The following is a 25704-nucleotide window of genomic DNA, read 5'->3' as shown; positions in this document are numbered from 1 at the left end:
TATAATCCTTTAGGTATATACCCAGTAATGGGATTGCTGGGTCAAATGGTATTTCTGGTTTTAGATCCTTGAGGAATCGCCATACCGTCTTCCACAATGGTTGAACTAATTTACATTCCCACCAACAGTGTAAAGTGTTCCTACTTCTCCACAGCCTCGCCAGCATCTATTGTTTCATGACTTTTTAATAATCTCCATTTTGACTGGCGTGAGACAGTATCTCATTTTGGTTTTGATTTGCATTTCTCTAATAATCAGTGATGTTGAGTCTTTTCTCATGTTTCTTGGCCGCATAAATGTCTTCTTTTGAGAAGTGTCTGTTTATATCCTTTGCCCAATTTTGATGGGGTTGTTTTTTCCTTATAAATTTGTTTAAGTTCCTTGTAGATTCTGGATATTAGTCCTTTGTCAGATGAGTAGATTGCAAAAATTTTCTCCCATTCTGTAGGTTGCCTGTTCACTCTGGTGATAGTTTCTTTTGCTGTGCAGATGCTCTTTAGTTTAATTAGATCCCATTTGTCAATTTTGGCTTTTGTTGCAATTGCTTTTGACATTTTCATCATGAAGTCTTTGTCCATGCCTATGTCCTGAATGGTACTGCCTAGGTTTCCTTCTAGGGTTTTTATGGTTTTGGGTTTTACATTTAAGTCTTAATCTACCTTGAGTTAATTTTTGTATAAGGAGTAAGGAAGGGGTCTACTTTCAGTTTTCTGCATATGGCCAGCCAGTTTTCTCAGCACCATTTATTGAATAGGAGATCCTTTTCCCATTGCTTGTTTTTGTCAGATTAGTTGAAGATCAGATGGTTGTACATGTGTGGTGTTATATCTGGGGTCTCTGTTCTGTTACAGTGGTCTATATGTCTGTTTTGGTACCAGTACCATGCTGTTTTGGTTACTGTAGCCTTGTGGTAAAGTTTGAAGTCAGGTAGTGTGATGCCTCCAGCTTTGTTCTTTTTGCTTAGGACTGTCTTGGCTATACAGGGTGTTCTTTCATTCCATATGAAATTTAAAGTAGTCTTTTCTAATTCTGTGAAGAATGTCACTGGTAGTTTGATGGGAATAGCACTGAATCTATAAATCACTTTGGGTAGTATGGCCATTTTCACAATATTGATTCTTCCTATCCATGAGCATGGAATGTTTTTCCCTTTGTGTCTTCTCTTATTTCCTTGAGCAGTGGTTTGTAGTTCTCCTTCAAGAGGTCCTTCCCATCCCTTGTTAGCTGTATTCCAAGGTATTTATTCTTTTTGTAGCAATTGTGAATGGAAGTTCATTCATGATTTGGTTCTGTGCTTGTCTATTGTTGGTGTAAAGGAATGCTTGTGATTTCTGCACGTTGATTTTGTATGCTGAGACTTTGCTGAAGTTGCTTATCAGTTTAAGGAGTTTTTGGACTGAGACGATGGGGCTTTCTTCTTCTTTTTTTTTCTTTTTTTGAGACAGAGTCTTGCTCTGTCACCAGGCTGGAGTGCAGTGGCGTGATCTCAGCTCACTGCAACCTCTGCCTCCTGGGTTCAAGTGATTCTCCTGCCTCAGCCTCCTGAGTAGCTGGGACTACAAGCGCACACCACCATGCCCAGCTAATTTTTGTATTTTTAGTAGAGACGGGGTTTCACCATGTTGGCCAGGATGGTCTCCATCTCTTGACCTCGTGATCCACCCGCCTCGGCCTCCCAAAGTGTTGGGATTACAGGCGTGAGCCACTGTGCCTGGCGATGATGGGGTTTTCTAAATATAAAATCATATTGTCTGCAAACAGATACAATTTGACTTCCTCTCTTCCTATTTGAATACGCTTTATTTCTTTCTCTTGCCTGCTTGTCCTGGCCAGAACTTCCAATACTATATTGAATAGGAGTGGCGAGAGAGCGCATCCTTGTCTTGTGCTGGTTTTCAAAGGGAATGCTTCCAGTTTTTGCCCATTCAATATGATATTGGCTGTGGGTTTTATCATGAATAGCTATTATTCTGAGATACGTTCCATCAATACCTAGTTTATTGAGAATTTTTAACATGAAGAGATGTTGAATTTTATCAAAGGCCTTTTCTGTATCTATTGAGATAATCATGTGGTTTTTGTCTTTGGTTCTGTTTATGTGATGGATTACGTTTATTGATTTGTGAATGTTGAACCAGCCTTGCATCCTGGGTATGAAGCTGACTTGATCATGGCGGATAAGCTTTTTGATGTGCTGCTGGATTTGGTTTGCCAGTACTTTATTGAGGATTTTCGCATTGATGTTCATCAGGGATATTGGCTTGAAGTTTTCTTTTTTTCGTTGTGTCTCCTCCTGGTTTTGGTATCAGGATGATGCTGGCTTCATAAAATGAGTTAGGGAGGAATCCCTCTTTTTCTGTTGTTTGGAATAGTTTCAGAAGGAATGGTACCAGCTCCTCTTTGTACCTCTGGTAAAATTCGGCTGTGAATCAGTGTGGTCCTGGGCTTTTTTTTTGGTTGGCAGACTACTAATTACTGCCTCAATTTCAGAACTTCTTGTTGGTCTATTCAAGGATTCAACTTCTTCCTGGTTGAGTCTTGGGAGGATGTATGTGTCCAGGAATTTATCCATTTCTTCTAGATTTTCTAGTTTATTTGTGTAGAGGTGTTTATAGTATTCTCTCATGGTAGTTTGTATTTCTGTGGAGTCAGTGGTGATATCCCCTTTATCATTTTTTATTGTGTCGATTTGATTCTTCTCTCTTTTCTTATTAGTCTAGCTAGTGGTCTATTTTGTTAATTTTTTCAAAAAAAAACCAGCTCCTGGATTCATTGATTTTTTGCAGGGTTTTTCATGTCTCTATCTTCTTCAATTCTGCTCTGATCTTAGTCATTTCTTGTCTTCTGCTAGCTTTTGGATTACTTTGCGCTTGCCTCTCTAGCTCTTTTAATTGTGATGTTAAGGTGTCAATGTGACATCTTTCTAGCTTTCTGATGTGGGCATTTAGTGCTATAAATGTCCCTCTTAACACTGCTTTAGCTGTGTCCCAGAGATTCTAGCATGTTGTCTCTTTGTTCTCATTGGTTTCAAAGAACTTCTTGATTTCTGCCTTAATTTCATTATTACCCAGGAGTCAATCAGGAGCAGGTTATTCGATTTCCATGTAATTGTGTGGTTTTTAGTGAGTTTCTTAATCCTGAGTTCTAATTTGATTGCACTGTGGTCTGACAGACTGTTACAATTTCAGTTCTTCTGCATTTGCTGAGGAGCGTTTTACTTCCAACTATGTGGTCGATTTTAGAAAAAGTGCCATGTGGCACTGAAAAGAATGTATATTCTGTTGATTTGGGATGGAGAGTTCTGTAGATGTCTATAGGTCCACTTGATCCAGAGCTGAGTTCAAGTCCTGAATATCCTTGTTAACTTTCTATCTCATTGATCTAATATTGATAGTGGGGTGTTAAAGTCCCCCACTATTATTGTGTGGGAGTCTAAGTCTCTTTGTAGGTCTCTAAGAACTTGTTTTATGAATCTGGGTGCTCCTTTATTGGGTGCATATATATTTAGAATAGTTAGCTCTTCTTGTTAAATTGTTCCCTTTACCATTATGTAATGTCCTTGTCTTTTTTGATCTTTGTTGGTTTAAAGTCTGTTTTGTCAGAGACTAGGATTGCAACTCTGCTTGCTTTTTTTTTTTTTCTTCCCCATTTGCTTGGTTAATTTTCCTCCATCCCTTTATTTTGAGCCTATAACAATAATTTTTCTTTTTTCTTTTCTTTTCTTTCTTTTTTTTTTTTTTTTGAGACAGAGTTTTGCTCTTGTTGCCCAGGCTGGAGTGCAATGGCACAGTCTCGGTTCACTGCAACCTACCTCTCCCAGGTTCAAGTAATTCTCCTGCCTCAGCCTCCTGAGTAGCTGGGATTACAGTCATGTATCACCATGCCTGGCTCATTTTGTATTTTCAGTAGAGACGGGGTTTCTCCATGTTGGTCAGGCTGGTCTCAAACTCCTGACCTCAGGTGATCCACCTGCCTTGGCCTCCCAAAGTGCTGGGATTACAGGTGTGAGCCACCGTGCCCAGCCAACAGTAATTTTGCAAAGCTTAGTTTCTTCATCTATAAAATGAAAATGACAGTAATAGCACTGAATTCCTTGGGTTGTTTTCAGGATTAAATCAGAGAATGCATGTAAAATATAGCACAATGCCTGGCATATAGTAAGGGTTCAATAAAATCATTAATACTATTGTTATAGATTTTAATTGCAATTTTATGCCATTAAAGTCCACTTACTTCACTAGTCACACAAGTTCAGTTCACAAATCAAGTTCCATGTCATAATTTTAAAAAATTCTTTATACTCAGGGAAGAGTGTTCATAATTACAAAATATTTTGGAAAATTTATAGTCACGATAAAATTTATTAAAATTCTTAGAAAGGTAACTTTGTTATAAAAATCACAAATTACTAAAAGGAGATAATAATGTGATGAGAATTAGAAAGAATTTAAATATTATGCAATCTAAATTGCAATGTTGATAAAAAAAAAACTAAACATTCTTAATTGCTTATATGACCTGATATAGTCAAGGACATCATTAATGTAGAAGCCATATATAGCTGGTTACATGTTCATGCAAAGCCTATATATTTGCAGGTGAGAGAAAAGGAAATATATGACTTCAAAATGTTCATCTTTTCCCATTTTGAAACCTTTATGGGATACTGATGTTCTGGTTAAGCATATTCTATAATATAATCTAAATTTTAAAGACTTAATTCACAATGACGAAGAATTGCTTTTCTTTTAAATCAAGAGTTTTAAACAGAATCTCTTAGTTTAACCAAAGAAGACTAAAATATATATTTTCTAAACTATGCAATACAAAATCGTATTTAAAACCATGTTAAATTTACCTCTCTTCAGATATATCTAGACACTGATGATTATAACTATTTCTACCTTCAATAATGAATGTCCACACCTTAAATTTACAAATGTATATTCTTTTTATAAATGACAGGAATATGCCAGTCCAAGGGAAAACATAAAGCGTGTATTTCAAAATGACTAAAGTAGCTGCTCAAGTGTCTATGGAGTATGGGCAATCTTACTGATTAATTTTCTTTGCTGTCTTTTACTTTTGTCTACTTTAAAGCCCATTTAAGCATTCAATGGCTATTGATTAGCTAAAAAACAACACACCTCTAATTCAGTGGTTAAATAATTTACAATTTTCCCGCTGGAAACATTAAGAATATTGCTGAGAAGATGTGTTAAAAGACTGCAGTGAACAATGACAGAAATGTGCTGTGTGCATGTATTTATAAATCCCAGGGCCAACTCAACCACAACTTTTTGGCAAAAGAAAGATATCTGATAATTAAATATGTCAATCTGATGGTAATGCCACAGAGCAAAAACGCACACTCATTGGATCTGCTTAACAGTTATCTCAATTAAAAACTGAAGAAGGCATTTCTACGTGATGTTACCTTCAAAAATAGGTTTTCTGCATAATGTACATGGTCTCTGCCAATTCCATATGAACTCAAAAATCCTATAAACTGGAACAAATCTAAGCTGGAACAAATCAGATTTTCATGTAACAGCTTCAGTTCCAACTTAGGTTAGAAAGAAACTTTTCTCTTACTATAGCCTGGTCCTAAGTAGAAAGCAAGAAATGATACTGTTTGTTATTTCAGTAAACAAGAAAGGAATTGTGTTATCTAAGACTGGGCAGGAATAGGGGAGAGATCTTGAGGCGTCATTTTCTCTTATTAATTATTTCTTCTTAAGATGAGTCCCAAGGCCTAGCCGATCACTAGTTAAAGGGCAGCTAGGTGCCCTTTAGAAAGGTGAAAGAAGCAGGGTATGGGAAATCCCTTTATTTTATTTTTTATTTTTTTATTGAGACAGAGTCTCATTCTGTCACCCAGGCTGGAGTGCAGTGGCATAATCTCAGCTCACTGCAACCTCCACCTCCTGGGTTCAAGCAATTCTCCTGCCTCAGCTTCCCGAGTAGCTGGAATTACAGGTGTCCACCACTGCGCCTGGCTAATTTTTGTATTTTTAGTAGAGACGGGATTTCACTATGTTGGTCAGGCTGGTCTTGAACTCCTGACCTCAAGTGATCCATCCACCTCGGCTTCCCAAAGAGCTGGGATTACAGGCGTGAGCCACTGTGCCCGGCCTGGGAAATTCATTTTTAAACACATTTTTCTCTGCCACTTATCAGGGGGAGAAGAAAAGAGCAGTATTAAAGGTCAAAATATAATGTGGCTCTGGTCCTCCCATACAATGCATACCCCAAAAGCGGAATCTAAGAATGCTTTTTTTTTTTTTTTTTTTTTTTACAATAGTAAAGAAAATAGTTTAGAGCAATTAGAAATCTGAAAAGGATGACAGGTTAATTCAAAGTCTTTTTAAATGATTGAAAAAGCTTTGGTTAAAAGGAAACATTCTTCCTTAGCCTATGAAGTTACAATTGCATGGTTTAGTTGGAGGTTATAAAGCACAGTCCCATGTGTTACATTTTAAAGTTACACTAAATTATAAAGTACTTACCCTTAAACTCAAGCCTTTTCATGCCAGACTGTTGCTGTGAGCCCTGTATGAAACATGCTTAATAAGAGTATAATATATAGTTTTCTTAATAAGATGTGAATAATAATCATTAATATGAGATCCAAGAAAAGCCCTTAAGAAAGCCAGAAAAATCTTATTAAACTTAACTAACTTAAGAGCATGGAATACTGGAATGAAGTCTACAATCCTCAAGCCAAAACACTCACCAAACACTGATGTTGCTCAGTGAGAATTTTAAGCTTTGGGAGAAGGAGGTCAGGGGTAAAGAGGTTAAAAAAAAGCAATGCAATTTGGAGCCCAGTGTAGAGTTTCACCCTATGCATTAGGGAGAAACATTTTAACAATCAAACCATACTTCATAAATAAATCTTTATTAGGGATTGCTTTACAATGAAAAAAACCAACCAACCAAAACAAAATAAAGTTCTAGACTAATACCTAAAAAACAAAGATCCAGAATATATAACCTTACTAGTTCCTCATTATGTATAAGTGGAAACAAAGACAGTCATTAATCTGATTTCTTGCTAAACTTCTAAAGTGCTGAGGAGAAAATCCGTCACAGTAATATGCTCTGAGATCTGTCACCTTGTTCCTTCCTGTCCAGGGCTAGGGGACTCTTCCTCCATGAAGTACCCTTTCCTCACCCACAACACATACTCCATCCATCAAAGGGAAACTTTCAGTGTCAGGTCATGGAATTTGGGAAAACTGGAAGATTTCTGAGCAGAGGAGTGACATAATGAAAGCAGTGTTTTAGGAAAGAGGAGGTGGGCAGGCCTGAGTGACCACAGACACACAAATAGGGTCCGAAGGAATGTATCTACTAACTGTCCATCCTTGCTTCTTACTAGCACAACAAAATAGTGCTTGGAAACAGTAAATTGCTTACATTCCTGTAGAAAGCATTAGGCTTGAATCTCAAAGTATTTGGTAACTATTACAACCCTGTACCATTCAAATGGGGAAAACAAACTGATTTCACTGAACTAACTCAGCATATTCACATAGAATAAAGGTATCAAATTTGGCCTTGGAGTCTTTCATTGTATTCTGCTTTCAAGATTCAAAAAAATACAAATGAACAAAGAGAAGACAAAAGTCTTATTTAGGAACTGAGGGTTCATCCACCAGTTTTATAAGCTACTGACTCCTTTACAGTTACTTACACTAGATTGGTAAATGTCCTGAAGGTGGTCAGAGTTGAGCCAACAGAAAGGTTATTCCCCGACTGACTCTCCCTGGGGCACAGTCTCCTGGCCCCTCTCCATCTTCCCCTAAAGTATGGAATATCTCATGTAATTTATTAAATACGGTACTGAAAGTGAAAAACAGAAGGGTTGTATGGGTACTCACCATCAACATACACAGCTGAAAGCACACTGGGCCTGGGCCCAGGAAAAGATCAAAATTCAAAGTCGGAAGTACAATTTCTACCGAATGCATATTGCTTCTGCACCACTGTAATGGCAAAAAATCATAACTCAAACCCTAAGTTGCAGACTATCTGTATTTAATAAATGCTTCAGGCTGGGTGCTGTGGCTCACACCTGTAATTCCAACAATTTGGGAGGTCGAGGCAGGTAGATCACTTGAGGTCAGGAGTTTGAGACCAGCCTGGCCAACACGGTGAAATCCCGTCCTACTAAAATAAAAAAATTAGCTGGGCATGGTGGCATGCATCTGTAGTTCCAGCTACTCGAGAGGCTGAGGCAGGAGAATCACATGAACTCAGGAGGCAGAGGTTGCAGTGAGCCAAGATTGTGCCACTGCACTCTAGCCTGGGCGACAGAGCGAGACTGTTTCCAAAAAAAAAAAAGCTTTAAAATGATTACACAGCATTCAGAATTCATTTTATGGGAGCAATCTTCTTGGACTAACTAGAATGTATTGTGATGCCTTCTCTGGCCCTTCTCCAGACAAAGGGGATTGCTTGCATTCCCCAGCCCCCACACCCCACCCCACCACCACTTATTGCCATGTTCCTGGTGCCTCCAGGCCTCCTGTTCCTATATTTCAGGCAGTTGCACTCCTGTTCATTTATTTTATTTTATTTTATTTATTTTTAGATAAACAGGGTCTCACTATGTTGCCCAAGCTGGTCTTGAACTCCTGGGCTCAAGTGATCCTCCTGCCTCGGCCTCAAGTGCTGGGATGACAGGTGTGAGCCAGCCTGGCCCAGCCTTTTGTTCATTTTTGAAAAGCCCCTCCCCTCTCCTATGACACTTTCTCTTAGCTCTCCTATGATTCCATCTCCCTCTTTAGGACTCACATAACCCTCTAAACCCTGATTTTGGCATTCAGAGAGTTGGGTTATTTTTGCTGAAATCATCCTTCTCCTTCTAGACTATAAGTTGTTTGATGGCAGTGACCAATCTAACTTCATGAGGTTTTTGCTGTTGTTAAGTTTTGTTAACTTTTTACAGAAAAAGATGTATTTTGAGAATTTTTTTTGGCAATCATTCATTCATTCAACAAATATTTATTGAACTGTGAATGGGTCCCAGGCCTTAGGCTCTATTTCAAACTCCAAAATACCAAGTAATCAGTTGAATATCTGGTTTGTGTTTTAAAAAGACAATTTTGTAGTGTCAATTTTGCTGAAAAGAACACAGAATATTACAGCAATCAAAATTGTCCTTTAAATGTTAAGTTCTATAAATTCTTTTAAGTTACACCTAACAATCCATTTAAGTTTGAAAAGAAGATGCAATAGATCACAAGTGCCTTTTTCCTGGAATTAGACATGTAACTGATCCATAATAATTTTTTTTTAAAGTCTCACTGTTTCCCAAACATTTTACAACCTTTTGAATTTTTTTTTTAACCAAAAAGAAAAAAACCTAAAGCATTTCTTTTTTTCCCCTTTACTCTCCAGTATCTGCTAAATAACTAGCACGAATATGGAAAGGGGATAAAGAATATACTTGCTTCATTCTAAAATCTTATATTAATTAGTTTTATAAAATAAAGAAGGCATTGTTTTCTGACGTTCATTATTAAAGTAAAAGATGACCAAGCCTCATATTCTAAAATGTATTACAGAATGTACAATGTATTCCTTGAGGCATAGCACACTCTAAAATCTGTTCATTTATAATAAAAGAAGAACTCTCTCAAAGAAGTCTTTCTAAAAAATAGGCCTTCACTCTGTCTGACTGCCAAGCTGACTTACTTTGGCAAGCAAGCCTGGAACATTTTAAATTTTATAAACATTATCCCTTTTTAAAAAGTTAATTTGACTACTTTAAGGAATGTCAAAATAAATCCTGGTTTCAGTGAAATCAAAATTAAATCTTACCAGACTTCTTCTAAGATCAAATATCATAATCAGATTTATGTAATCAGTATAAAGTATAAAGGCTCTCAGTTTCGGGGGCTAAAGAGGCCTATTTATTCTTCACAACCCTTTTCCTCCTCCGGAAGGCAAATGAGTGACCATCTTTTCCTATAGGTTGATGGTGTGAGGTGTGTCATTTATAAATAAAAATGAAAAGGAACACATCATGTCTTTATTTAAACCAGGTTCAGTAATAGCTTCATTTCTAAAACAATACCAACAGGATTAAGCGCAGGCATGAAACAATAACAAAAACAACAACAAAACTTAAAAGAAAAGTGAAAGGAACAAAAATGGAGAACAGAAGGGAGATTAAAATTTGGTAACAGGCACTGTGTTAAGTGCAAAATAGCTACTGTTACTCCCATTTTACAGAGATGCTCTTACTACTTTATGTTGTACAATGAGGAAAGGATTGAGAAAAGAAAAATAAATTACAATGTAGCAACAATGATTGCTTCTAGAGACTAGCTATACTTCTCTATCCTGGAGAAAAACTGCATTTTTACATTTATATTTTAGATCTACTTACAAAAAGCCCGGCAACTATAAACTAAATAAGATGATAGTTTTTGACTCATAAATAAAGATATGCAGTGGCTTTTGTGGAATGTAATTGCGGCCTCTAGAAGATTCTGAAGGATATTGCCTACTTGTTACACAATTTTTGCTAATGTAGGACTTTTAGTCCTTCAGATTTTTTGTTTGTTTGTTTGTTTGTTTTGTTTTTAGACAGTCTCCCTCTGTCGCCAGGCTGGAGTGCAGTGGCGCGATCTCGGCTCACTGCAACCACCGCCCAGGTTCAAGCGATTCTCCGGCCTCAGCCTCCTGAGTAGCTGGGACTACAGGTGCGTGCCACCACACCCAGCTAATTTTTGTATTTTTAGTAGAGATGGGGTTTCACCATGTTGGCCAGGATGGTCTCAATCTCTTGACCTTGTGATCCGCCTGCCTCGGCCTCCCAAAGTGCTGGGATTACAGACTTGAGCCACTGCGCACAGCTGTCCTTCAGGTTTTTGAAGGGATTTTATTTTTGTCATTTCTTTGTTATTTAATAAACAAAACACAAGCAAATACTAAGTAGAATTATGTCAACAACAACAACAACAAAAAAGTATTCACTGTCAAATATTGCTGTTATTCTATATCATATAAGTTTCATTTGCTGCCATGGACATTGAAAAGGGATCTCAGTTGTTTTAACAGAGCCAAGAAAGGTAGTCCTGTTCAATAAAACTCTCTGCAATGATGGAAACGTTTTCCATCTGTGCTGTCCAATATGTAGCTACTAGCCACATGTGGCTACTGAGTACTGAAATTGTGAGCAGTGTAACCAAATAACCAAATTTTTAATTTTACTGGCTTTATTGAAAAGCCAATGGTTTATTGAAAAGCAAATGTCTAAAGAATGCAGTTTAGCTATTCCTTCTTGCAAAAGACACTTGTCCAGCAGTTCCAGAGAGTCAACAATTTATATAAAAAATAAAGAGAAATGATTGTTTCACTATTAGTAATCAATCTTTCAATGGTAAGAGCGGAAAAGAGGGGAATATGAATTTGTAAAACTGTATAGTCTAGTTCTCTTTTACTATTAAAACTTTATACATAAAAATTTATACATAAAAGTTTACACATAAAACTTGCCTGTGCCTCTGTAAAAGCACTGGTATTTAACTTCTGTGCTCCAGAGAATACAACAGCTATTCTGTAAATACTTACCGATCAAAGATGGCAATCTATCTATGGTCACCCTATGCTAAAATCTAAGTGTCTTGTCTTGTCCACTCTACTTCTACATCTTTGAAGTCAGGAACCAGACTTTGCAGTTTCCACCTGTCTCCAGCACCTAACACTTACTAAGTACTCATCAAGCACTTGCTAAATAAGTGAATAACTAACTCTGAATTTCTCCATTCATTGCTGCAACATCTTAGAGAAGCATTTGAATGGACTCTGGGTGATCTGAGTAAAGCAGAGACTGTGGGATCTGCGTCAATGATCAGGTTCATGCCACAATGTTGATGAAGTGTTCAAAGTGATTTCTGGCTCAAATTTTCTGACTAACAAAATAATACAATCACCAGGGCTAAGGAGAGGGGAAAGGATGTCATGGTACAGCACATGCCAATAAACAAGAATTCTGGTGGTAGAATTCTTGTCTTTTTAATATAACATGAGAATTCTCATTTCTTACTTTTTTTTTTTTGTTTTAAAAGAGGCCCCTTCATAGAAAATAACTAATGCCCTAAGGGGAAACAAAAAGAAAACCTCTGAGAAAAATGAGTCAGAAATTAGAAAATGAATAAAGAAATGAAAGGAAATGTAAGTTATAAAAATTATACAGTCATAACATATGGGGGTGGCAGGGACAATATTTAGTTAACTTTAAGAGGCTAAGCTAGTCCCAGGGTTCTACGGTTCCCTCTACGCCAAGCATTCTTAACTCTGTATAGCTCTAATTCCTCTAGTGAGTCACATGAAACATTCAAAATGGCCATCTGTCTATGAAATCACCTTAGGTAAATAAAAATGCATTTGGCAGGTACCCAAAAATATCACAGGTTCCCTATCATGATAATGAGTCTGTGGCATTGCCAAGTATCATTTATGGAGTCCTCTGTTACAATCAAGAATATTTCTTTGCAACACCGAATTAAAAGGTAAGTATAGTTTAGATTAGAACTCTAGTGTGCTATTTTTGGATGCAGAACTCCTTATTAATTTTGCAATAATACCACTACTCTTTCACTTTAATACGGCAATAAGAAGATCCCAAATGAATAACTCAAAACTTGCTTCAACCAGCACACGTGGAATGTGACTGGCTTTTGAGAGGTATTTTCCAGCTCTCTGGAGGATAAAGAACAGATCATCAAATGGACTGTTCAGGACGTAGATTGGGGACACCCACAATGACCCTCCGCTCCCACAATCTTGTTCTCTTTACCTTTCTCACATGGGTTTTTTTTTTTTGAGACGGAGTCTCGCTCTGTCCTCGAGGCCGGAGTGCAGTGGTGCGATCTCAGATCACTGCAAGCTCTGCCTCCCGGGTTCAGGCCATTCTCCTGCCTCAGCCTCCCGAGTAGCTGGGACTACAGGTGCCCACCACCACGCCCAGCTAATTTTTTGTATTTTTAGTAGAGAAGGGGTTTCACTGTGTTAGCCAGGACGGTCTCGATCTCCTGACCTCATGATCCGCCTGCCTCGGCTTCCCAAAGTACTGGGATTACAGCGTGAGCCACTGCGCCTGGCCCTTTCTTACATGTTTTAAGAAATATTTTAAAGCTTTGGTTTTTGAAAGCTTTCCCTTCACAACTTTCCTCCACTTTCCATGTTTTGCCTCCTCGAGTCCCTTCATTCATTTCTAGTCATCTTTCAAGGGCCATTCATGTTCTGTTCTTCTCAGTCAGACTGTCCCTAACCTCAATAACCTACAGGGATCCTTCCAGGGGATCCTTCCCACCTCTCAACTCTTAGAGTTATTTATTGTTTCTACTGCAAAAGAAATATCTTCTTATTCTACTTATTTTATTTTTAATTCCCCAGGTGACTCCAAAGATGATCAGCTAGGTTTAGGACTTGTTGGTATAAGTCTTGCCTCATGGTGAGGAGAGACTATTTTCAGCCTTTTAAAATTCCTTATTGTGGCTGGGCGCTGTGGCTCATGCCTGTAATCCCAGCACTTTGGGAGGCTGAGGCAGGCGGATCACTTGAGGCCAGGAGTTCAAGACCAGCCTGGTCAACATGGTGAAACCCCATCTCTACTAAAAGTACAAAAATTAGCTGGGCGTGGTGGTGTGCGCCTGTAATCCCAACTGCTCAGGAGGCTGAGGCAGAAGAATCCGTTGAACCCAGGAGGTGGAGGTTGCAGTGAGCTGAGATCGTGCCACTGCACTCCAGCCTGGGCGATGGAGCAAGACTCTGTCTCAAAAAGAAACAAATAAATAAAATAAGATAAAATAAAATTCCTTATTGTTCTCAATTAGACATGTTAATTAAGGGCTGAATAATGTATATGAGGACAGGAATCTACAAATATAAAAGCCTGAAGCTTTAAAATGAAATCTAAAGCTTTAAAATAAAATCGATTTAAGCTACTTAATATTTGGCAATAATTAAAATAGACATATTAAATGTGATCCTTGCAATAATCTTTATTTTAATTTTATGTATTTTTTTTTTTGAGAGTCTCCCTCTGTCGCTCAGGCTGGAGTGCAGTGGTACGATCCTGGCTTACTGCAACCTCCACCTCTCGGATTCAAGTAATTCTCCTGCCTCAGCCTCCCAAGTAGCTGGGACTACAGGTGCGCACCACCACACCAGGCTAATTTTTGTAGTTTAGCAGAGACAGGGTTTCGCCATTGCTGGCCAGGCTGGTCTCGAACTCCTGACCTCAAGTGATTGGCCTGCCACAGCCTCCCAAAGTTCTGGGATTACAAGCTCAAGCCACCACGCCTGGCCTTAATTTTATTAATCGGAACACTAAAAAGGAATTTTTTTTTAAAAAAAACACACAGATGGTTGATATAATGAATCTTTTAGAAAGATTTATTAAAGCTTAAAGAATCAAGAGGGGATGAAAGAGAGTCTACTATACAAAAGGTGGTAAGTAGCAAATGGCCTACGTTAAAATTATATTTTCTATCTGATTGATTCTTTAAAACATTCTCTATGGCTTAAGTGCTTTATAAACAAATAAAAACTTTAGAAAACACTTTCAAATACAAACAGGTGGGCCCATTTGTGGTATAGGTGCAAATAACAATAAAAATTGATAGCACTTAGGATCTTCCATCACCATACAATTTTACTCTAAGGCGGTCAATGTTTAACACATCCTTTAAAGTAATGTGAAGTCATAAATACACCTTAAACATTAATTGAATAACATTTCATTAAGTACTTACTTGACCTTATCAATTTAAAAAGAACTTAAAAATTACATAGCAATAAACCACAATAAAGAAAACTAAAAAGACTTGAAGTTCCTGGTCGAGATCAACCTCTAGAACCTTTGTTACAGTAAGTTCCTGAAAGAGTTGCGTAGAATAATCAAAGGCAGTAAAGCATGGTACAACATCCTCATTTTCAGAATTCCTTACCAAGGACATCCTGTGCAGACTTTCCCAAACTGCCCTGTTCTCCCATACATAGATAGCAGCTCTATCGAAGAGCACATTTGCTTCTGTGGATATTTTATTGGTTGGGTAAAGGACGAGATAGCATCTCACTCAGTGCCTTGCCCATAGCACAATTCTGCAAATATAATACCTGCTGGCCTGAGTCAAAGTGCTTCAGTGTTCATTCTAAGATAACCCCCACCAGTATTGCCCTCAGTGCATTGTCATGTATTACTCAGCAACCTCATTCTTTCAAATAAGCTCAAGGGACATCACACTTTCACTGTTACTGTTACTCTGTAGTCCTCTCTGGAAGCTCAATGTCTCAGCTCTGTTTACTTAGTTCCCTTCTTCTGTCTTCCCCATTTTAGTGAATGGCATTACCATCTACCCAACCAGTTGCTCAAGCCAGGAAACTGAAAATCAGTTGTGATTCTTACTCCCTTTGCCCCTCCGATATCCAATCATCCACCAAATCTAGTAGATTCCACCTCCTAAATCTCTCTAGAATGAATTTATTTCTAAATCATGGTTCAAGTTATCACATTTCTCACTTGAACTACTGCAACAAGCCTTATAGTGTTCTTCCTATCTACAACGGTCCTGACCCAATTCAATCTACTCTCCACAATGCAAACGATGAAATTTCCTAAAATGTTTCTTACTGTGTTTTTTTTTTCTGCTTTAAAATTTATAATCTCACATCAATTAGGATGCCTACTCTTAAAAAAGAAAAAACAGATAAAATAACAAGTGTCGGCAAGGATCTGGAAACACTGGAACTTTTTGCACTGCTGGTGTAAAATGGTGCAGCCACTATGGAAAACGGTTCCTCAAAAAGCTAAAAACAGAATTACCATATGCTCCAGTAATTCCACTTCTGGTCTGAGCATATACCCAAAAGAACTGAAAGCAGGGACTTGAACAGAACCCAAGCTCATAGCAGCATTATTCACAATAGCCATGATACCTGAAAGATCGAAGTGTCCATCAATGAACTGATAAAATGTATTGTGTAATTGATAAAATGATAAAATGTAACTGATAAAATGATAAAATATAATATATAAATATACAATGGAATATTATTCAGCCTTAAAAAGAAAGGAAATTATGACACATGCTACAACATGAATGACCCTTGAAGACATTATGTGGAGTGAAATAAGCCAGACAAAAAAAAGGCAAATACTATAGGATTCAACTTATTTGAGGTATCTAGAGAAGTCAAATTCATGGAGACAAAAAGTAGAATAGTGGTTTCCAGGGGCAGGCAGAGTTATAATTTAGTGAGTATGGAGTTTCAGTTTGGGAAGATGAAATAGTTCTGGACAAAGGTAGTAGTGATGGGTGCACAACAAGGTGAATGTACTTAATGTCACTAAACTGTATACTTAAAAATGGTTAAAATATTAAGTTTTATGTTATGTATATTTCACCACAATAAAAAAAATCACAAACACACACAAATCTATAATGAGTCCTCATTAGCCTCAGGATGAAATCTAGAGATTGCCTTAATGTGGTTCACAATACCCTTCAGGATTTAGTCCTAGTATACCTCTCCTCTTGCTACCACTCTCTCTTCCACTAGGGTCCAGCCATATTGACCTATGCTGGAGCTGAGCTCACACCACCTTGTAAAAGTATTTGCACAAACTGTTCCCTCTGCCTAAAAGACAAGCCTCTTCAATTCTCTCTCCATCTGTAACTTTTCTTCATCTTTAGCCCTGTGTATTCCTTCTTGATAGTACTTACCACAATACTGTACCTGCCTATTTGCTTTACTGGCTCCCTTCCTACTAGTTTATAGCTGTATGAAGGCAAAAGAATGTCTCAACTTGTTTGGAATTATATCCTCGGTGCCTGGCACATATAAGAATTCAGTAAACATTGTGGATTATATAAGTAAATGTAGAAAATAGCAAAGTAATCATTGAGGCACAATAAAGTATGTAACATACACAAATGGACACATACCATTCCTCTGCAGGCATCTTTAAAATATTTTATGTCTGTTACAAACAGATAACCAAAAGGCTCAAATTCTTTTTTTTTTTTTTTTTTTTGAGATGGAGTCTCACTTTGTCGCCCAGGCTGGAGTGCAGTGGCGTGATCTCAGCTCACTGCAAGCTTCGCCTCCTGGGTTCACGCCATTCTCCTGTCTCAGCCTCCCAAGTAGCTGGGACTACAGGCGCCCGCCACCATGCCCGGCTAATTTTTTTTTTTTTTTTTGTATTTTTAGTAGAGACGGGATTTCACTGTGTTAGCTAGGATGGTCTCGACCTCCTGACCTCGCGATCTGCCTGCCTCCGCCTCCCAAAGTGCTGGGATTACAGGCATGAGCCACCACGCCCGGCCAAGGCTCAAATTCTTGAGATAAAATTCTAAATATAAAAAATTTCCTTCATACTAATCTACTTTCTTCTACAAATTTTTTTGATGGACAATTGTGGCAATTTTAAAGTTAATGTTTTTCAAATTAAGTATGAGTGTTTTTATTTCTCTCATAACTTTTAAAATGTAAACATTATATAGTTCAGCCACTGCCTTTACTTCCAAGCAACTTCTCCATGGGTGTCAATTCCCTTTTAAATAAAATACTATTTTTCCAGAAGGCAGTTAGCTTTTCATCATTCTTTCTCTTTAGATAACATACAAAGACAAATCCTATACGGACAAGTCTATGGACCCAGTGCTCATACACAGTCTCAAGTCAGTCCACCATGATTGCAAAAGCCCCAGTTCCAACAATGACCCCACAACCAAGGGTAGTGATGAGCTCAGCCACCTGCCTATCAGTTCGTTTTTTTAATGCCATTCTATTTCAAGTGTACACAGGGATCTCACTGCTTTTGAATTAGGTCAGTGAGAAATGCTAAGTCAAAATCCTGAAAATCTTGGCACAACCTTCCATACTGAAAGAATTGGTTATTTGTTCACCAGTTTTATGTTGTAATTTTTTAAGAGGAGGTATCAGCTTCAAAATGCAGAAATATCTATCTTATTTCATACTTTGCAACCATATAATTTATTATTTGAAACATCAATATTTATGATAATTTAATAATCAACTGTTCACACAGTTTGATTCAAAATGGAAAGAGTCTAAAACTAGCCATGTAGCACAATGTGGTCAGGACAAATCTTCTAAGAAATGGCTTTGGTAAATGTGGTGAACTTCTTATCATAGCCTATAATTAAACGACTCTCAAAGCCAGTCTGGAAAATGTATTCAGAAACTGCAGTAACATGCTGTGAAGGACTCTCCTCTTTCCCCCTCCTCACTCTTTCTTTCTGCTTTATTACCACGTTTCCCTTCCTCTCTTTAAAAAGAGTGTAACCAGATAATCTCAACAATGTTCAAAACCTGATAAAGGTGAAAAGTATTTATCACTTAATCCCTTTTTGGATCTGACTTTTTTCCCTTTTTTTTTTGTAGATACAGAGTTTTGCTATGTTGCCCAGGCTGGCATTGAAGTCCTGGGCTCAAGCAATCCTTCCACCTCAACCTCCCGAAGTGTTGGGATTCTGTAATCCCCGCAGCCATGAGCTGCAGCACCCAGCCCTGACTCTTTAATCAGAAGTGAATTTGTTACATGCATACAGTGGATTACTACTCAGCAATAAATGGAAAAACAAATACATACAATAACTAGAAGAAACTCAAAAATATTATGCTGAGCAAAGATTGCCAAACACGAAAGAGTGCATACTGTATGATTCCACTTATCTGAAGTTCTAGGAGTAGGCAAAACAAATCTATAGTAATAGAACTCAGCAGTGATTGCTTCTGGTGAAGACAGAGGGAATAACTGAGAAAGGGCATGAAGGAACTTACCTTCTGGGGTGACAGAAATGTTCTACATCAGACCAAAATATGGGTTACACTTTTGTATACGTTTGTCAACACTGATCGAACTGAATAATTAATCTGTACATTTCCCTGTATATAAATTATACCCTAATTTTAAAGAGAATGCTCTTTTTCTAGTTAAACTTTTTATTACTTAAAAATGTGAACTAATACTAGGTCTCTAGAAAGTACTTAGTATTTTGTAAAATATATTACCATTGCTAACCTATACTGAATGCAACTTAACTTACCCATGGAAAAAATAGCTGAAAATCATACATATGAGAAACTATGGACTGAGGTGGAAATAAGCACTGGCAATGATATTGATTTTTCTAGTACTTTTCAAGGTACCAGATCTAAAAATGCTTTACAAAAAATATTTTTAAAAGTCCCGTGCTACAATTCACAGGTTTTATCTGCTATGAAGGGAATTGCTACTTTCATTTGATCTCAGCATACCACATAGTCACCAAAACACAGGAATAGAAATGTTGAGTACAGCCATAAGGCAGCATGAGGAGGCAAGGTGTTTTTTTGTTGTTGTTGTTGTTTCTTTTTTCTTGGAGACTGAGTTTCACTCTTGTTGCCCAGGCTGGAGTGCAATGGTGTGATCTCGGCTCACCACAACCTCCACCTCCCAGGTTCACGCGATTCTCCTGCCTCAACCTCCTGAGTAGCTGGGATTATAGGCATGCACCACCACGCCCAGCTAATTTTTTGTATTTTTAGTAGAGACGGGGTTTGTCCATGTTCGTCAGGCTGGTCTCAAACTCCCAATCTCAAGTGATCCGCCTGCCTCGGCCTCCCAAAGTGCTGGGATTACAGGCATGAGCCACCGCATCTGGCCGGCAAGGGGTTTTTTACTTCTTTTTCATAAATGTTCACCACTATCAATAACAGCAAATAAATGACTGCTGTTTAGTCTCATCATAAATATGCTTCCCATGTACAATAACAGAAATTGCTAACAATAAAACTTTTTGTTGAATTTTATAACTCAAGGTCTAGCAGATATTCCTAACCAGTTTGCAGACAGGGAAAGGGGAAGGGAGGATTTGACTAACAAGTCAGTGGATAAAATCGATATACAGTATTATTTTATTTGCGTTTTTGTTGGCTTCACACAATCCACAGAATATGCGTTTTCATGTTTTCTTTCTGTGCCTCATTTTTCTCCTCTCCTTTCAGGAAAATAAACACAAGCTGTCATGTTCACGTGGCATTAGTTGAATGCTAAAAGCAAAACTTTCGGATCACTTACCTTATGTTGGCTATGTGCTGTTGCACAGGCTGATGCTGAAAATGGTCAGGCCACGGATGATGCAGGCAGAAGGATGGAGAGGGCTGAAGACAGCACGTAGTCTGATACACAGGTGAATGATTTGGACAAAGAGATGCAGAATACTCGGAGTGTGGCTGCATGCAACACGAGGCCAAAGCAGAGGGTGCTGCAGGGCCAGCCTCGGGATGGCACTCTTGGTGACTGCTATGGCTAGTCAAAGGGTGATGGTATGGGCAAGGATGGCAGCATTGGGGTAACATCTGAGGCATTCTTTGGTTGTCTAAAGGCAGAAAGGATGATTTGACCGTGCCATTAAGTTGCAGGCATCCATTTGGACTCACTTTTGTTCTTGTTGCTTCTTTGGGTGTGAGCTGCTGGGCTGCATGGTCTCCATCACAGGGGGTGAGGGGACTCGGGTTAGCAGCACTGGTTGCGATGCTGCTGTTGCTCAGAACCACAAAATCATTGTTTCCATTGCTCATAGCCATGCTCCAATTTCTTGACTCTAAGTAAGAAAATCATAAAATCGCCCAGTTACAGTCAGGCAGGCAAATATGTAGGAAAGACAAGTATGATATTTAAAAACAGCTCATTGAAAATGAGGGTTCTTGCAGAGTTGTGAGACAGTGGTAGAAATTCCGCAGCATCTGTGATGGAACCAGCCAACACAGTGGCACTCCTCTTCTTTCCTCCAGCTATTTTAGGCACCTTAAAAACCCTCTTCTATTCCCATTGATCACTTTTCTCCTGCCCACCTCTCCTTTCAGTGCCCTTCTTCTCACCCCATCCTAGATGCACAAGTAATCAGTTAAGAACTAGACCATTTTGCATGAGAGGAGAGGATACAAATAGCATCCTTTAGCTTTTCAACAATATCATGGTTGGCTTATATGTTCTGATTTAGGAGTGACGGGCAAAATGAAGGGCCACTCTGAGGGTAATTCATTGTACAAGGTTAAAATAATTTGAATAATCTTAAGAATGTTTTGTATCTTAGAAAAATCTCAAGAATATATGATTTTTCCCCTTAGTCATTCAAGTCTGAGAATAATAAATTAAAACCAGTCAGGAAAGCTAAGAATTCTAGCAACCAAAATATCAGATGCAAAATTCTATATAATATACTACAGGTGACATTGCCTGCACATGAGAAAAATAATACTATGGGTGGGATTTGCTTCAAATGAGTTTTTTTTCTTACTTTTTTTTTTCCTTCCACCAAAAGGTTCAGGGCTTCAATATAAAGGAAGATCCTTAGATGCTCAAATTACCAGCAGCAAGTGTGTCCAATCAACAAACAAAAAAACAGACAATCTCCCTATCCCTTTGCTCACTGCACTACCCTCTGAGCAACATACACACAAAATCCGGGAATTCACAGTAAAAAAAAAAAAAAGGGTCATCAAATGCTATTAGTCTATTCAACATATACATAAAAGCCAACAACAACAACAAAAAGAAAACTGTAATTTAGCTCGCTAACCCTTCTAGCATGCCATTCTCTAAGTAGACAAAACGGCTTGTGCAGGAATCTCTTTCTAGTCCTTCCCCACCTCTGGCAGACACACAGGTAATCAGAAGAAATCATCTTTTTCAGTCTGAGTACATAGTAATCTCACTGGCAAACCTGGATCCCCCATGAGGATTCCTATGTACATTTTCACCCAGTATGTAAACTGCTCAGCAGAGGCATTTGTGAGCAGAGCATGCCCATACTAGGATGTAAATTTAGCATATTTACCTTTCAGACAAAATTCCTCAAACACACCCTACCCCACATACACAAATTCAGTTAAATAAACATCATGCAATAGGAATTTCTTAATAAATTGCTTAGTGGGAAGACAAAGCATTTAAAAACATCAAAATATATATAAAATCAAGTAGATGTTACTTCCCTCATTAGTCTTACATCACTTTTGAAAATGGCTTGCCAATCCCAAACTTCCTTTTACAATGACCATTGAGAGGGATTCTGAACTGTAGTAAATACAGTTGCTCTCTCCTTCATTAAATCACTTTCCAATGTTCCCAGTGTTAAACAAACATCCACTGTAAAACATTCAAAGAATATACCCAACACAGAGTAATAGTAGTTAATGTATTATCTAAACTAGCAGGAGGTAGGGTAGATATACTGACCGGCAAGAGCACTAATGTGATCCAGGAGGCAAGAACTAATCTCATCATTTTCTAAATGTGCCATCTCAGCAAGATCTGCTCATTTATGCTTCAGTTTACTGAAGAATATAACCTCCCTTTTGTTGTTAACAAAAGAAAAAGCCATATGCAAAGGTTATGAAAATAACAAAACATAAAGGACATTTAAAGAAGCACTGGACGTTTTTTAAAAAAGCTAATTGAAATTTAAGATGTTTAATTGTGTCTTAGATAATGTAGGAAACAATCACTAGATGAGATCAATGTAATTATTTCCCAGAATTAGAAACTCTCATTGTACGAGCACTCCATTCAAAGAAATCACTGCAGGCACACGCTTTTCTCCAACCTCCACCTGTACCTCAGTTAAACTATCACAGCTGATGGGAATCTGCTGGGCTAAATGGGAAAGTCAACTCCTCCTGCCCTTTCCATCAGGAGGGCTGAAGGAAAGAATACTTCTAATTTGTTAGTTTGTTTTTACCATCCCAGGTTGGTTAATGTATCATCTCAAATAGTCTACTTTTTCCTAGGTATTTAATTCAATCAATTCTACTGATTCTAATCACAGATGCTGGGTAAGTCATGCCAGTGAGAAGCATCTAATAACAACAAATGACTTAAAAGTTTCAAAGTGAAACTGGCTGATAGGGTTTGGATCTGTGTCCTGCCCAAATCTCATGTCGAACTGTAATCCTCAGTGTTGGAGGTGGGGCGTGGTGGGAGGTGATTGGATTATGGGGCTAGATTTCCCTCTTTGTGCTGTTCTCATGATAGTGAGTGGGTTCTCCTGAGATCTGGTTGTTTAAAAGCATGTGACACATGTCCCCGGCCAACTTTCTCCTTCTCTGGCCAGCTTCCCCTTTACCTTCTGCCATGATTGTGAATTTCCTAAGGCCTCGCCAGAAGCTGAGCTGGTGCTGCCATATTTCCTGTACAGCCTGCAGAATCGTGAGCCAATGAAACCTCTTTTCTTTATAAATTACCCAGTCTCAGGTTATTTTTTTTTCTTTTCTTTTTTTTTTTGAGATGGAGTCTTGCTCTGTCACCCAGGCTGGAGTGCAGTGGCGCGATCTCGGCTCACTGTAAGCTCCACCTCCCAGGTTCATGCCATTCTCCTGCCTCAGCTTCCCAAGTAGCTGGGACTACAGGCGCCCACCACCACGCCTGGCTAATTTTTCATATTTTTTAGTAGAGACGGGATCTCACCGTGTTAGCCAGGATGGTCTCGATCTCCTGACCTCGTGATCCGCCCGCCTCAGCCTCCCAAAGTGCTGGGATTACAGGCGTGAGCCACTGCGCCCGGCCTTTTTTTTTTTTTGACAGGATCTCCATCTGTTGCCCAGGGTGTAGTGAAGTGGTGTAATCTTGGCTTACTCACTGCAACCTCCACATCCTGGGTTCAAGTATTCTCCCACCTCAGCCTCCTGAGTAGCAGGGATCACAGGTGTGTGCCACCACACCCAGCTAATTTTTGTATTTTTTGGTAGAGACAGGGTTTCACCATGTTGGCCAGGCTGGTCTCGAACTCCTGACCTCAGGTGATCTGCCCACCTCGACCTCCCAAAGTGCTGGGATTAGGATTACAGGCGTGAGCCACTGTGCCCAGCCCAGGTATTTCTTTATGGTAGTGCAAGAACTGAATACATTGGGCTTCAGACAGAATCCCATCAACCTCTAACTCCCTTCAAAGAACCCTGAAATCCCCTCTAGACCCTCCTCAATCTTCATGTTTTCCTATCTTCTAATTAAATCTGCTTATCCTCAGTAAAAAAAAAAAAAAAAAAAAAAAAAAATTATTTTTCTTCATAATCAGAATCACAACTATCATTCTCTTTTAAATTTATTACAAATGTATCGTTTTGTAGTTACACAAGAGTTAAATAGATTCTTATATGCCAGCTGGGGACCTAATCATCACTTATAACATGTTTTTTCCACATGGTAAAATGCAGTTCAAATGCCAAATAACTGACTTACAAATGAATTTTTGGAACACAACCTATTTTGTAACTTGGGAGACTTCTTGTAATGAAGTAGGAACTAGTAAAGAATAATTTGAACTCTGACTTTGGCTTGTATTTGAAGCAAGTCACATGAGTGTTCTCTGATTCCATTTCTTTAATTATAACATGGGACCAATCAATTTGACCTCATAAGTATGTAAAAAGTACAGGTAAAAAAATTTAGAAGCAAAAACAGAAAAAATATTTTATGAACTGTCTATAGATTATTTAAGTTCAATGGATGCATTTGGGTAGGTGTTCAGGTGACCAGCCAGAATAGGAAAGTATTTCACTCTGAGATCAGGAGTTAACCCTAAGGCCCATACAGAGAAAGATCATCCCTTCCCCCTCTTCATCCCGTCCTTCCTTCCTTCCTTCCTTCCTTTTTTTTTTTTTTTTTTTTTTTTTTTTTAAAGACAGGGTCTTGCTCTGTCACCCAGGCTTGAGTGCACTGGTGCGATCATGGCTTCCTGCAGCCTAGACCTCCCAGGCCCAAGCAATCCTCCTGCCTCAGCCTCCTATGTAGCTGGGACCATAGGCATGTACCATCATGTCATGCTAATTTTTAATTTTTTTGTAGAGGTGGGTTCTCCTATGTTGCCCAGTCTGGTCTCAAATCCCAGAGCTCAAGCGATCCTCCTGCCTCAGCCTCCCAAAGTGCTAGGATTACAGGATGAGCCACCATGCCCAGCCTCCTTTTTCTTTAGAACTGAGATAAATGAGGAAAAAATCCAGTCTGAGCCTAAGACGGAGGGAACTAACAGGAAAGAAGAATAAGATAGAGGAAGTATAAGTATAATAGGAGTGGAATAAGGAGTTCCTGAGAGTCTTAATACCCTTACATTTGTCAAACTATTGTGATAAGTGTAATGGTATATGATTATGAATGCAGTGATAGTAATATTTATAGTGAAAGTTTAAAATCGGTTTTGGGTAAAATATAATGAGTAACTTTAAAAGACAGCTATGTTGAGACTGGGCACAGTGGCTCATGCCTGTAATCCCAGCACTTTGGGAGGCTGAGGCAGGAAGACTGCTAGGGCTCAGGAGTTTGAGACAAGCCTGAAAATATAGTGAGACCTTGTCTCTAAAAACAATTTAAAAGTTAGCTGAGCATGGTGTTGTTTGCTTGTAGTCCCAGCTACTCAGGAGGCTGAAATGGGAGGATCACTTGAGCCCAAGAGACGGAGGTTGTGGTGAGCTTGAGACACACCACTGCATTCCAGCCTGGGTGGTAGAACGAGACCCTGTCTCAAAACAAAACAAAACAAAACAGCTATTGTTGAAATCACCTGTTCTCCCAGGGCCATAAAACACAGGGGAATGCAAAAAAAAAAAAAAAAAAAAAAGGCAAGCTATTATTGAAGCATTGGCTTGAGATGTGATGTGCCCACACCAAGATATTTT

General features: G+C 38.5%; 1 protein-coding gene and 1 pseudogene across 15 annotated transcripts in view; both read right to left on the bottom strand.

The window, feature by feature from the left end:
- The window catches only part of DISP1 (dispatched RND transporter family member 1), a 190957-nt gene that overhangs the window by 42553 nt on the left and 122700 nt on the right, over nt 1-25704 (bottom strand). For all 15 annotated transcript variants that reach the window (NM_032890.5, NM_001350630.2, XM_011510075.3 and 12 more), the window contains one exon: nt 20111-20636. In NM_032890.5, the coding sequence (NP_116279.2) occupies nt 20111-20619 (509 nt within the window). In that variant the 5' untranslated portion in view covers nt 20620-20636. Of the gene's footprint in view, nt 1-20110; nt 20637-25704 lie in introns of those variants that run through there.
- NDUFB1P2 (NADH:ubiquinone oxidoreductase subunit B1 pseudogene 2) lies at nt 17543-17718 on the bottom strand (annotated as a pseudogene).

This window comes from Homo sapiens, chromosome 1, assembly GCF_000001405.40.
Source record: "Homo sapiens chromosome 1, GRCh38.p14 Primary Assembly".
NCBI classification, from domain to species: domain Eukaryota; kingdom Metazoa; phylum Chordata; class Mammalia; order Primates; family Hominidae; genus Homo; species Homo sapiens.
This window is presented reverse-complemented; position numbering and strand designations above follow the sequence as displayed.